The 14,685-nt window shown below is 36.0% G+C and overlaps 1 pseudogene, besides 1 other annotated feature; it reads left to right on the forward strand.

Moving 5' to 3' along the window:
- On the forward strand, positions 5,479–6,414 carry OR4F14P (olfactory receptor family 4 subfamily F member 14 pseudogene; annotated as a pseudogene).
- Positions 5,534–6,733: an enhancer, noted in NCBI's record as "BRD4-independent group 4 enhancer chr15:102368999-102370198 (GRCh37/hg19 assembly coordinates)". NCBI's record gives its function as "activates an origin of replication core promoter dependent on BRD2, P300/CBP, MED14 and CDK7 cofactors, and independent of BRD4, by STARR-seq in HCT116 cells {active_cell/tissue: HCT116}" and the evidence as "EXISTENCE:reporter gene assay evidence [ECO:0000049][PMID:35650434]".

Here is a 14,685-nt window from a genome sequence, read left to right on the forward strand (position 1 = left end):
TCTTGCAAGAGTAAGGTGGTGTCTCGTGGTTTTGATTTTCATTTCCCTGATGATTAGTAATGTTGAGCATTTTTCATGTATTTGTTGGCCATTTGTATATCTTTTTTTGAGAAATATCTATTCATGTGCTTTGCCCATTTTTTGATGGGATTATTTTAGTTTCTGCTGACTTGAGTTTCTTGTAGATTGTGGATACTAGTCCTTTGTCAGATGCATAGGTTGCAAATATTTTCTCCCATTCTGTAGGTTGTCTATTTACTCTGATTATTATTTCTTTTGCTGTGTAGAAGCTTTTTAGTTTAACTAGGTCCTATTTATTTTTGTTCTTGTCGCATTAGATTTTGAAGTCTGAGTCATGAATTCTTTGTCTAGGCTGATGTCTAGAAAAGTTTTTCTGATGTTGTCTTCTAGAATTTTTATAGTTTCAGGTCTTATATTTTAGTCTTTGATTTACCTTGAGTTGATTTTTTATAAGGTGAGAGACACAGATCCAGTTTCATTCATCTACACATGGCTTACCAGTTTTCTCAGAACCATTTATTGAATAGGTTGTCCATTCCCTAATTTATGTTTTTGTATGCTTTGTCAAAGATCAGTTGGCTGTACATATTTGACTTTATTTCTGGGTTCTTTATTCAGTTCCATTGGTCGACATGCCTACTTGTATATAAGCACCATACTGTTTTGGTAACTATCGCCTTGTAGTATAATTTGAAGTCTGGTAATGTGATGCCTCCAGGTTTGTTCTTTTAATCAAAGGAAAATTATTGCATCTTGCACCTTCTGTCACTAATAAGAAAGAACTATACCTGGTAGATTTCTTCCATTTCTGGAGGAAGCATAGGCTATAATCAGGAATACTACCACAACCCATATGCTGAAAGCCATGAAAGTCTGTCAGCTTTGAGCAGGGCGCAAATATGAAAAAGATTTTGCTGTAAAAGATCTAGACTTTGTGCAGATAGCCTTACTTCTTTGGCCATACTACCTGGCATACCCAGGTATTAGAAAAATTGGTGGTGAAAAGAGAAAAAATGAGTTTCATAGCAAGCACCAGTTGGATAATTACAACACAAAGCTTCAGGGGCTTAAGCAATCATTTTTCTAAAGATTACAGAGTAATTAACACATGACATGTAGTTCCACAAGATGTCATATTATACCACATTAAAGATATGGAGGTATGAGAGTTAGGACATGACCATTAGATCTACTGGCCTCTTCACATACTGCACCACCCAGAATCTGCTCATCTAATGAAGCAATGAAATGGCTGTTATCAAAATAGTCCTCATGGTGAGCTACAGGAAAGAGGATTTCAACAGCCATGTTTCATGTTAATCACCTTTTTCTTCCCCTCCATTCCCGCTAAGTGATTCATGTGAAATACACTGGCGGAGGCTGCCATTTTGGGTTTAGATTACTCTGCAAAGATATAACAGCTTATTTCTTCTATGTTGCCAACTTTCTTCTGCCCTGATGTTATTTGTCCTGCCCTGTTTGTCCCCCGGATAAAAAATGAGTGGGTTCAGACAACAATAGCCCAGTTTCCATTTGTCTCTCCAGTGTCACTCTTGACCCTTCTCCACCCAGTTTTGTGCCTTTATTAAGCTCTTCTTCAGTTACCTAACTTGAGTGTCGCGTCTCTTGTCCTGGCAGGATCCTGACTGACACAAGTGTACAAAATTGAAAGTAAAAATACCTTGTTTTCTTGCACAACAATCTCACTGTCAAAAGTGCTTATTGCAAAAAGTTTATTGTCTACTTGTTCCGATTTGTATGCACAGCGGCATAGTGTGTGCTGCATTGGTATCCACTGTTTCACTCAATGGTGTGTCGTGGTTGTCTTTAACTGTATAGATATCAAACTTGCTTTACAGTGGCTTTAGAGAATTCGATTGTATGGATGTAGAATACTCTTTTAAATTTATCATCAACTGCTGGATGTTTTAGTTGTTTCATTTTCTATTAAGCTCTAAACACCGGAATGAATTTCTGTACAGCTAAATCTTGGTACATATCCATAACTACACAGCATATGACTATGTAAAAATGAAGTGTTGTATACATTCTTCTACCATTTAAACTGTAATAAAAATTTGGCACAGTGGCTTTTCTAGAGATGATAAAATGATTAGAGTTAATTTTTGAGTTAACATTTACTTATTTTCAGGGATTAGTTATAATGAGTAGTTATCACTATTGCCAACAAAACAGCACAAATATACTAAACAAAAATATTCCACTTTTGTTTCCCTCTTTTTCTCTAGTGTCTTATTATGAACTTTTGTATCTTTTGGTTGCACTGATCAAAGCAAATAGTTCTCTAGTGGCAAAGCCCATGACCCATAAGCTCCTTTAAACTATCATGTTTTTGCAGTATCACTTGGTCACTGTCCTCTTGAGGTATATGTAATTAGCCTTCTGTTTCCTGTGGTAGGGTATTATATGGCACTTCACGTTAGAGAACACAGGAAACTCCCAGAGTACCTGAACATGTTGTTCTCTCTATACAGGTAAAGTGGAAGGATGCAAATAAATTTAACAATGGGATATTGGCTTTAGTTTTAGATAAGGTTCTGTTGTGGGAATTGCTATGCACACAAGTCATATTCTAAAGCAAAGTAGATAGGGTCCAGGATAAGGAATTGACTAAAATGAGAGAATAATTGTGAAAAGTTTATTGACATTTTAGAAGTTAATTGGCATTGGCTTTTGAGCTAGGATTACACTGTGCCTAAGGAAAGGTGAAAGACATTAGAAAAAGTCTGATTTTGCAATATTTTAAATTCAGCATAGGTTGCAATTAATCACTCTCTGTGATTATAGGAATGATTCTCATCCTTTGTCATGTGATAAATAGGCAAGAAAAATTGACACATGAAGATAGAAAAACATAGGTTATTATATTTTTCTCTCAATTTTCTTTTCAAAAGAGATGGGTATAAACTGATCCTCTTCCATAACAAGGGAAGCAAATTTCTTGAGAATTTGTCAAGTTTGCAAGATGGAAGAGTCTCATAGACACTTTATTAGAAATGAAAGACATGGAGACCAAAAGACCCAAAGCTTAGTAAATAATTTCCAATGTAATGTCATTTAAAAATGTGATGTGAAAAGTTTAAAAATAAAATAATACATAAACCACCAGGAGCTTGATTTTGTTTTACTGGTCTCTTATATGATTTAGAATTACAGTGTTTGTATTACTTATGTCTTTGAACTGTAGGTAGAATGAAGAAGGATTTAGAGAATGCTTATAAATAAAAATTTTTTAGGAATCACTGTGAGAAAACATTCTAAGTGTAAATATAAAAGGTATTGAGTTTGTTGAATCTTGGAAACAGAAAGATAGGGGCTAACTTTGTTGCATTTATGTATATGAAAGTTAATTTGACTGGACACATGGTTATAAAACTTTATTTGATCCTCACAATTTACCTTGTAAAGTTAGTATCATTAATTGCAATTTGGTAGACCGAGACTCAGAAATTTAAACAACTTGCCCAATACCAACTTGTAAGAAGCTGAAAAATTATATAAATCTTTGTTTCTGAAGCCCATATTCTTTCCAACATGCTAGGTTGCTTCTCTAAATAAAACTGAAATTACAATAAAATGTGATAAATCTTTGTATAGAGGTTTGAACAAAATGCTTCCCACTGTACCAAAATGCTCTTTGTAGTTTAAGCTTTTTAGATCATGTGCTACTAGGGCAGTGATTCTCCAATTATCTTCTCAAATTATTTTAGTTACATATTTTTTCCCGCAGTGCTTCTTGGACTTCTACTTTGGTAGAATACAAAATCAAACACTTGGATTTTGCTGTAATGTTAAATTATTAGAGACATTTCTAAACACTCTGAATTTCAGTATCTAACATAATACAAACCAGTAACCGTTTGTGGACCTGCTCTTCTCTGTAGACCACTTTTTTGTTGCTTCAGAGAATCCCAATGTGAATAAGTACTAATCCCTGCCTTTCAGACATGTCAACTTGGTGAGTTAGACTTGTACCCAGTTTACTACAACATAAGGGATAGTAAAATGAGTACTTGTGATATAAAGCAAGACCTCACAGCTATGGTAAACATTTCTTAAACCTTGAAATACTTTCCAGATGTGGCGAGTGAGGAACGTTTCTGCCAGAATATGGCTGTGGTCTTGGAAATGGATGTAATGGTTGAGAAAACGTAAATAGTTCTGTGTGACTAGAGCCAGGCTATATTAGTCTTGAAGCAAAAATTAAAAGAATTTGGAGTCAAATTCCTGTTACCCATGTTGACCAGTCTTGTATTTCACGAGGAACATCACGGCCACTACTCTGGGAGAAGCAGAGGGATATTAAAGCAGAGAAGGTTTTCTCCTTCACACTTGGTTGTCACACCGTGTTAACACAATTTCAGAACCTATCAGGATATTAGATTCTTCTCTCAACTCTCTGCAAGTTTTATTAAAGTGTAGTTAACAAATAAAAATTATATATATGGTGAACAATGTGATACTTTGATACATGTATATGTATGAAATAAATCAAGCTAATTAACATTCATCTCCTACACTTATTTCTTTGTGGTAAAAACATTGAAGATCTATTCTCCTAGAAATTGTAAGTATGAAGTACATTATTATCAACTGTAGTTACCACGCTTCACAAGAAGCCTCCAGAATTTATTTGTCTTGTTTAACTGAAACACGGTACTGGTGCGTAACATGTCATTCTCTACCCGCTTCATCAACCCTTGTCAGCTGCTAATTCTAATCTCTAGTTCTATGAGTTTGACTTATGTAGATTCCACATATAAGTGAGATTTTACAGTATTTGTAATTCTGTGTCTGTCTTACTTCAATTAGCATAATGTCCTCCAGGTTCATCCATGTTGTTGCAAATGACAGAATTTCCCTTTTTTTTTTGGTAAGGCGGAAGAGTATTCGATTGTATAGGTACACACACACACACACAAACACACATTTTCTCCATCCACTTATGTCTCAATGAACACTGCATCTTAGCTATTGTGAATAATGCTGTGATGAACATAGGTGTACAGATATTTCCTTGAGGTATGTATTTCAATTCCTTTGAATATACACCTAGAATAAGATTTCTAGATTATATGGTAGTTCTTTTTTTTTGGAAACTCCATAGTGTGTTTCATAATGGCTAAACAAATTACATTCCCAACAACAGTGTACAAGAGTTCCTTCACTTCACAGCCTTGTCAAGACTTGTTACCTGTTGTCTTTTTGGTAATAGCTATTCTGACAGGCCTGAGATAAGGTCTCATTGTCATTTTAATCTATATCCTTAATGATTAGTGATAAGATTTTTATATACCTGTTGGTCATTAGGTTAGTTTTAACGCTAAAGTGGAAATAGACTTTTATAACTTTGACTTCTTTCCTTCTCGTTCATTAATATGATTATAATTTACATTTTTGGCTGTTGTTCTCTAGCTATCACTGCTAACAAAGCCAATGGTTGGGGCAAATCACTCCGTGGTGTCAGAGTTTGTGTTCCTGGGACTCACCAATTCCTGGGAGATCCGACTTCTCCTCCTTGTGTTCTCCTCCATGTTTTACATGGCCAGTATGATGGGAAACTCTCTCATTTTGCTCACTGTGACTTCTGACCCTCACTTGCACTCCCCCATGTATTTTCTGTTAGCCAACCTCTCCTTCATTGACCTGGGTGTTTCCTCTGTCACTTCTCCCAAAATGATTTATGACCTGTTCAGAAAGCACGAAGTCATCTCCTTTGGAGGCTGCATCGCTCAAATCTTCTTCATCCACGTCATTGGCGGTGTGGAGATGGTGCTGCTCATAGCCATGGCCTTTGACAGATATGTGGCCATATGTAAGCCCCTCCAGTACCTGACCATTATGAGCCCAAGAATGTGCATGTTCTTCTTAGTGGCTGCCTGGGTGACCGGCCTTATCCACTCTGTAGTTCAATTGGTTTTTGTAGTAAACTTGCCCTTCTGTGGTCCTAATGTATCGGACAGCTTTTACTGTGACCTTCCTCGGTTCATCAAACTTGCCTGCACAGACAGCTACCGACTGGAGTTCATGGTTACAGCCAACAGTGGATTCATCTCTCTGGGCTCCTTCTTCATACTGATCATTTCCTATGTGGTCATCATTCTCACTGTTCTGAAACACTCTTCAGCTGGTTTATCCAAGGCTCTGTCCACCCTTTCAGCTCACGTCAGTGTGGTAGTTTTGTTCTTTGGTCCTTTGATTTTTGTCTATACGTGGCCATCTCCCTCCACACACCTGGATAAGTTTCTGGCCATCTTTGATGCAGTTCTCACTCCTGTTTTAAATCCTATCATCTACACATTCAGGAATTGAGAAATGAAGGTGGCAATGAGAAAAGTATGCCGACAACTAGTAAATCACAGGAAGATCTCCTAAGTCATGGCTTGTTTTGTGAGTGTCTTCATTAACTATTGAAGTTTATTGCTGAAGCTTCTCTTTGTCCTACCTTAATTTGATCATCCACATGGATATTGGGTCTATTTTGTTTGTCATTTAGGAGGGAGGGAAATTTGCTTCTGAAAAGAGAAAAGAGTTACATATAAATTATTTAGAAACCAAATATTATACTTTTGAGCTTAATTCCTAAGGGTAATTATTAGACATATGTAAATCGGAAGGCTATCTGAAGGCCTTCTGAAAAGGGAGAAATATCTCCTTCATCCACTGTAATTCAGTATGACCTTAAATTGACTATATCTGCAAAGACAAACATTTGCAAAGAAGGGCACATTGACAGTACTCAGTGTTAGAACTTTAACATGTCTATTTGGTGAACACAAATCAAACCACAACCGTAGTATAGGTAGTACAGATACATGTGAATAGAAATGATTAGAATATAGTTACCTATGTATCAGAGTAAAGCTATTTTTAAAACAAAGTTAGTAGAAGTAACTTTTGCTCTTTCATAGGCAATCAACTATGTTTTTTAAAACAACGGAGCAGGTAAAGTCAGCAAAAAGCACAAAAAGTGATTCCTATGTACTACAGAATTTTTATCTACTGGCAAGGACGTTTACAAAGAAGGCAAAGAATAACATTTACTGTTTTTTTTTAAAAAAAGAAGAAAGAATACATTTGTTATGTCAAACAGAGCGAAAGCCAAATTCTAGTCTTACTTTAATGTAATATTTGGCAATAAAGCATTCTTGAGATTAAAAAAAATAGATCCATGAAAGCTGAGCTGTGAAAAACTTTGCCAAAATTTTAACATGTATCATTGCTTCTATTCAGCAGCATTATTTGTAGTTACATATATGTAACAAAACAGAATTTACTTCCTCACACTTCTACAGCTTTCTGTATCCTTTGGGTTTTGTCTTTCACTATTGTTCTTCACATATTGAAATAACTAGACATTTTATCTTAGAATGAATCTACCCCTTTGTCCCTCTTGATAAACAAAACCAGATCCTATTACATTGCATAGCCTGTCGTATTTTTTGGTTATTATTACTTCTAGTTTCAATCACTCATAGTAATTATGACTTTAACCAAAGAAACTGACTTTTATTTCATAGAGAGTATTTGCTAAAGGAAACTAAAACCTGATAATATTTAATGTGGTAAAAACATTAATTGATTTTTGAGGAACCATGTATTGAGGAATTATTATAATAGTAGAAAAGAGACCTTGGTAAAAGTTTGGGCTCAGTTCCTAGTACAACAAAAACAAGTGGGAATTTATGGCTATGGAGCAGGTTGTAGTTTCTGTGGGTGGAAAATTTTAAAAAGTGACATCAAAGGTAGGGAGAATTCTTGCTAAACTGACCTAATAGGATTCTGGCTGCAGGGAGGCAAGAACATATCAAGGATGGAGAGGAGGAATTAGATCAGATATCAAGGTATAACCAGATATCAAGGCTGGAAGATTCTCTCTAAACTGTCTTAGCAGAATTCTTGCTAAAACTGGGCTATGCAGGTTCAGTAGAGAAGCGGGCCAAGGTTGAGGCTTATTCGGGAAGTGGGATAAGAAGAGTCTGACTAAATTTTGGTCAAGGGGAGAGTCTTTGTCAACTCAAAGATGGAAAATTGAGTATTGTCTGACATACACAATTACTTTAGTAACCAGTAAAGCTCATGAGCACTCAAAATATAACCATTTACCACCACAATTATTCTATTTACATCTTCTTAAAGGAAGTAAATGTTTTTCTTAAAGTAGGAAAAAAGAAAACATTTACTAAGATGATTTGAACACTCTATAAAGGTATGAATAAAGTGACACAAACGCATCACACACACACACACACACACACACACAACATTCTCCATGACCACTGCCCCTTAGCATTAGAAACAGTAATGGCTTCCTGCTGTAGCTAGTCCTGGATACTTAACCATTCCTTGTTGGTTTTCTTTAATATCGCTTGCACTGTCGGAAATTAAATTTCCTCGTTTACTCCATTTGAATATTGTACTTTTTCTTGGTGTGACCCTGATATACGTATTTGTGCACAGAAAAGCCCCAGGAAAGAGCACCTCAAAATGATTTCTGGGATTAGCTGGCTCACATATTTAAGGAGTACCTGTATAACTTCCTTATCTCAGGAGTACTAGACTTTGATCACACAGGGGTTCTTCTACAAGTTCATGGAAAGTGCTTATTATGAAAAAAACTATGCATGGGTTTCAAACTCTTTTTGCACCAAAATAAACTCATACTAACTTGTGATAACATGTCTAAAAGGAATCTAGTTTGAGGCACTAGGAAGGACAGGACATCAGTTTGAAAAGAGCTCATATCAGAGCAACATGATTTCTTCTAAAATTGAAGCAAGAACAAACATCAAATTTATGGTGAAGCTTGGGCAGAAAAGTGGTGAAATCATTGATGCTTTACAGAAAGTTTGTGGAGACAATTCTCCAAAGAAATTATCAGTTTAAAATTGTATAACTCATTTTAAAAAGGGATAAGACTATGTTCTATGTTGAAGATAAAGCTTGCAACAGCAGGGCATTCACATAAATTTTTGAGGAAAAAAATTAATCTTGTTTATACCCTAATTGAAGAGGACCACTGATTAACAGCACAAACAATAGCCAACTCCATATACATTTTAATTGGTTTAGCTTACACAATTCTTACTGAAAAAGGTGAGCAAACTTTTTACTCGACAGGTGCCAAAACTGTTGCATCTAGATCAACAGCAGAGAAGAGCAGAGCTTTCCGTGGAAATTTAAAACAAGTGGGAGCTATCCTCAAACATTTCTTTGAAGAATTGTAATAGGACATGAAGCATGGCTTTACCAGTATGATCCTGAAAACAAAGCACAATCAAAGCAATGGCTACCAAGAAGTGGAAGTGGTCCAGTCAAAGCAAAAGTGGGCCAGTAAGAGCAAAGATAATGACCACAATTTCTTTGAGGATTCTCAAGGAATTTTGCTTTTTGACTTTCTAAAGGGCCAAAGGACAATAACATTTGCTTATTATGAGAGTGTTTTGAGAAAGTTAGCCAAAGCTTTAGCAGAAAAACATCCAGGAAAGCTTTACCAGAGAGTTCTTCTCCACCAAAGCAAAGCTCCTCCTGCTTATTTCTCTCATCAAACAAGGGCAATTTTGTGAGAGTTTTGATGGGAAATCATTAGGCATCTACACTGAAGTCCTCATTTGGCTTCTTCTGACTTCTTTTTGTTTCCTAATCTTAAAAAAAAATCCCTAAATGAGACTTCTTCTTCATTTAATAGTGTAAAAATCTGCATTGACATGGTTCAATTTCCTAGGACCCTCAGTTCTGTAGACATACACTAAATGGCTGATATCATTGCTCACAAAAGTGTCTTGAACTTGATGGAGCTTATGGTGAGAAATAAAAGTTTATATTTATATTTTTATCTTTTAATTCCATTTTTTCCACATACTTTTGGAAGTCCTCCTTGTATGTAGAATAAAGATAGACTTATTATTCAAGTTTTCACTTGTGTTTGTATAGAATGAAATGCAGGTCAAGGCAAGGCACTATAATCTCCATTACAACTAAATGTCACAGCCACTTGATCTCCCAATCCCTTACCCTTTTTGCTGGTAGAGCTACTCTTTCATCCAAGTCTGAATAAACCAGCCTTTCCTTGCATTAAAAAAATTTATTTTTGATTGGCTTTATCTGGACCAGTTGCCCATAGGACTACAACAAGAATTAGGTCCCACTACAACTTATATAGAGAAGTACAAAGCCTGCTCTGAAAAATATAGTTTAAAAGAGTTATAGGATTTTCTAAATATTTGCTGGGGTCTGAGGAAAAGACATATGAGTGAAGTCAATGGTTAGGCTGAAAAAGACTAATGAGACAAAAATCAGACAGAAATCAATATGGTATATCACCTGAGATTTAGGCATTAATAATTGATTTGAGCACCTGGATAAGTGCTAACAGCCTGCTAGGTTGGTTAATGCAATCCTGTACTCAGTGAAGATGTTCCAGTATAAATGTCCATCAAAGGTCATCCATTTTGGAGGAGGCACTTAAATGTCATATGGATTAGAAATCATCCAGCAAACCTGAGGCATGTGATTAAAGTTAAGTTATCAGCTTAAAATAGACTAGTATAACTTTATGATAAACACAAAGCAGAACCTATAGTTGATTTGCAAAAGATAAAGAGAAAGGAGGGGCTGGGTGTGGTGGCTCACGCCTGCAATCCCAGCACTTTGGGAGGCCGAGGCGGGTGGATCACGAGGTCAGGAGATCGAGACCATCCTGACTCACACGGAGAAACCCCTTCTCTACTAAAAAAATACAAAAAATTAGCCGAGCATGGTGGCAGGTGCCTGTAGTCCCACCTACTCGGGAGGCTGAGGCAGGAGAATGGCGTGAACCTGGGAGGCAGAGCTTGCAGAGAGCAGAGATCGTGCCAATGCACTCCAGCCTGGGCAACAGAGCCAGACTCCATCTAAAAAAAGAAAAAAAAAAAAGGAATCAAAACATACCACTACAGAAAAGCATCAGATCACAAAGGAAGGCAGCAAGGGACAAATAAAGGAACAAAGGCTCCACAAACAGCCATAAAACCATTAAGTAACTGTAAATAGTAAATTCTTATTTATTGGTAATTACTTTAGATGTTAATAGTCAAAGTTTGGCAATAAAAAGACAGAATGACTAATAAACCAATTCAGTAAAGTTGCATGTATAAAATCAACATACAAAAATTGATAGCATTTCTACACACTAACAGCAGATTCAATGCAATCTCTGTCAACATTCCCATGGCATTTTAAACAGAAATTTAAAATTCTCAATTTTGTATGGAACCACAAAAGACCCCAAATAGCCAAAGCAATCTTAAGAAAAAAAAAATAAAGTTGGAGGCATCACACTACCTGATTTCAAATTATAGTGCAAAGTTATATTAATCAAAACTGTATGGTATTGACATGAAAACAGATATATAGACCAATGGAATAGAATAGAAATCCAAAAGATAAACCCAAGCATATATGATTATCTAATTTTTAACATGGACACTGAGAAGACCCAATGGGGAAATGAAAGTCTTTTCAATAGATGGCACAGGAAAACTGGAACTCTACATGCAAAATAATTAAATTGGACTCTTATCTGTATACTTTTTCAACATAGCTAAACCAGAACTATGATTCCCAGAATTCCCCTCCATGTATGTTTCCATGTTAGGGCTTACCATAAGAAAAGTTTGTGTAAGATTTGGAAGGTGGAAGTGAAGCAGTAGTTACTTTTGATGTGAAGTTGGTGGAGAGAAGGTACTGCTGCAGCTCACACATACTGTCACTGGTATGCTGGCTCACCTTGCTGATGTCTCTCCCTTAGATCCTCCGAGTCCTGAACCAGGTGCAAGTACATCAGAGTTGGAAGCACTCAAGGAGACACTGTTCTAATTTGTCCTTGGCCTCCTCTACTTCGTGTCCATTTTCCCTTCCATAGTACTGGCTCTACTGGCTTTAGGCCCAGCATGAGATTCAATGGAAACAGACATACATAGATCGCTTAATGGCTTCCACAATTGCGTAAGGTCTAATGCCTATAAGAAATTTCTTACTCTATATCAGTTATAGTGGTTCTACTTCTCTGATCAACCCCTGAGTGATACACTCTCAACAGATCACAACAACCCAATCATTTATGGGCCTATAGAATACCTTATTGATCACCATGATATTGACACAATATTGCATCTGACCAGGTATATTTTACAGCAAATGAATATATTTTACAGCAAATGATATATTTTACAGCAAATGAAGTATAATGATAAGCTCACACACATGGAACTCACTAGTCTACTGACATGCGCCATCACTTACAAGCATCTGATTTGATAAATTGGTGGAATGCCTGCTTCTGCTAAGGTGTAGTTACAATGCCAGTTGGGAACCACATTTTGTGATGACGAGGTGCTCTCCTACAGGATGCAGGAGAAGCCTATGATGAGCTACTAAAGCAGGCTGTACTACTGGTCACAGCTCCTGTTCCTCATGCTCTTCTGCAGCCTTGGCTTTTATTTGTGATTCTTGAAACCCCTCCCTCATTAGACCCCCATAGCCCTAGGGATTATAAGAGCTCACTGCCCTTGCCAGCCCTGGGTTCCTTTCCATTTCTTCCTGGTTCTTATAACCCTTGCCCAAATTCTTGTATATAATTCCTTCAATCGATTATTTTCAATCACGCATTTTAGTGTGATATATTTTCTTATCTTGACCTTGATTATTTTCTACAATATCTGTAAAACTGAGAAAGAAAGTAGAGCAATATGGATTTACAGAAGTAAATGCACGTAACTGTCAAGCATAAAAAGGGTCTGGAAGAATACATACTACATGATAGTTACTCTAGAGAGGAGGGCAGGAGCCTTGGATTAAGGGTCATTAAAAGGTCTTTGTCTTTATTTGTGATGGTCTAGTTTTTAAAATGAGAACAAATTCATGTACTCTGTATGCAATTACAAATTATTAAAAATTTAAAGTATCAGTTGAAGATCTTTGCTGATATCAAGTCGTTCTGTGATACTTTAAACTGGATTTCAAATTTTCAGAGTATCATTTGCTTATAATTAAATTAAGATTTAATGAACTCTAATATATTAGATATATATTTTTCCAACTAAAACAAAACAGATAATTACATTGTTTGAAATTTCCATTTCAGACTACTCTGGGGGTTAAGGATAATGTACCCCTGAGCCGCCTGATTATAGGCCTGTTCTATAAAACATATTCTTTTGGACTTTATGGGCACTTGCAAGGGAGTCTGTGGGCCATAGATATGAATGACTGTCAGAGAAATGTTCAAGTGGTTTGCTTTTTCCTGGCTTTGCTGCTCTGAAGAGAGTCTGTCTTGGGAGGCAGTTTCAACCTAGAAGTTAGTCTTAAGAATTCAGTTATTTGCCTGTATTTCAAACTAATTTTTAACTTCTTAGCTCTGAAATTCATGATCATTGAGCCATTCTACCCTTATTTATGTTCCCTTTTAGTCATTGCCTATAATTCTATTTTGAAACTATTTTTTCTCTTTTTTTTTTTTTTACATTTTTGATTTGGCCTAATTTTATTCTTTAGATTTTAGTTTTGTTCAGTTAAACCAATATTTATAGAGTTCCTAATATGTGCCAGAAAATGTAAAAGGCATTATAGAGACAGAGAAAAATAAGCTAGACATCCTGGCTAGCTTCCATTCTGCAGGACATAGAGAAATAGTTTCAATGTCACCAGGTAAGTACAGTGATAGAGTTATGCATAAGATGGTATGGGAGTACAAAGAGGAGCAGAGGGTGCAGCAGTGTTTTCAACAACAGTTGTACATCAGAATTACCTGAGACACTTTTAAAAAATAATGAGACTCTTGGCTGACCTCCCAGAGAGTTTGATTCAATTGGTTTGGTTGGATACATTATTCCTATTATTATTTTACAATTAAGACTCTATTTTCCTTTCTAGTTTTCTTCTGTGTTTTTTTTAAAAATGTAAAGAATTAATTTTTTTAATTTTTAATTTTTTTAAATTATAGATACATAATTGAACATATTTGTGGGGTTCATGTGGTATTGCGATACAAGCATACAGTGTGTAATGATCAAATCAGAGTAGTCAATCCATCTCCTTCAATATTTATCATTTCTTTGTGGTAGGAACATTCTAATTCCACTCTTCTAGTTATTTTGAAATTTATAACAAATTATTAATTATAGTCACCCTATTGTGCTACCAAAACTAGATCTTAATCCTCCATGTAACCGTATTTTTGTACTCATTAACCATCCTCACTTTCTCTCCTGCATACCACTACCATTCTCAGCCTACAGTAATCATGATTCCACTCTCTAGCTCCATGAGATCTACAATTTTAGCTTCCATCGATGAATGAGAACCTGTGATCTTTGTCTTTTTTCACCTGGCTTATTTCACTTAATGTCCTCCAGGTCCATCCATGTTGTTTCAAAGGACAGGATTTTACTTTTTTGTGGCCAAATAATATTCCATTGTGTATATGTAACACATTTTCTTTATTTATCCATTGATGGGCACTTAGGTTGATTCTACATCCTGGCTATTGTGAGTAGTGCTGCAATAAACATGAGAATGCAGACTATCTTCAATATGCGGCTTTTTCTTTTCTTTTAAATATACGTCCAGCAGTGGGACTGCTGGATCATATGGTAATTTTACTTT

The sequence above is a fragment of the Homo sapiens genome, chromosome 15 (genome assembly GCF_000001405.40).
Source record: "Homo sapiens chromosome 15, GRCh38.p14 Primary Assembly".
In the NCBI taxonomy this organism is placed as follows: Eukaryota; Metazoa; Chordata; class Mammalia; order Primates; family Hominidae; genus Homo; species Homo sapiens.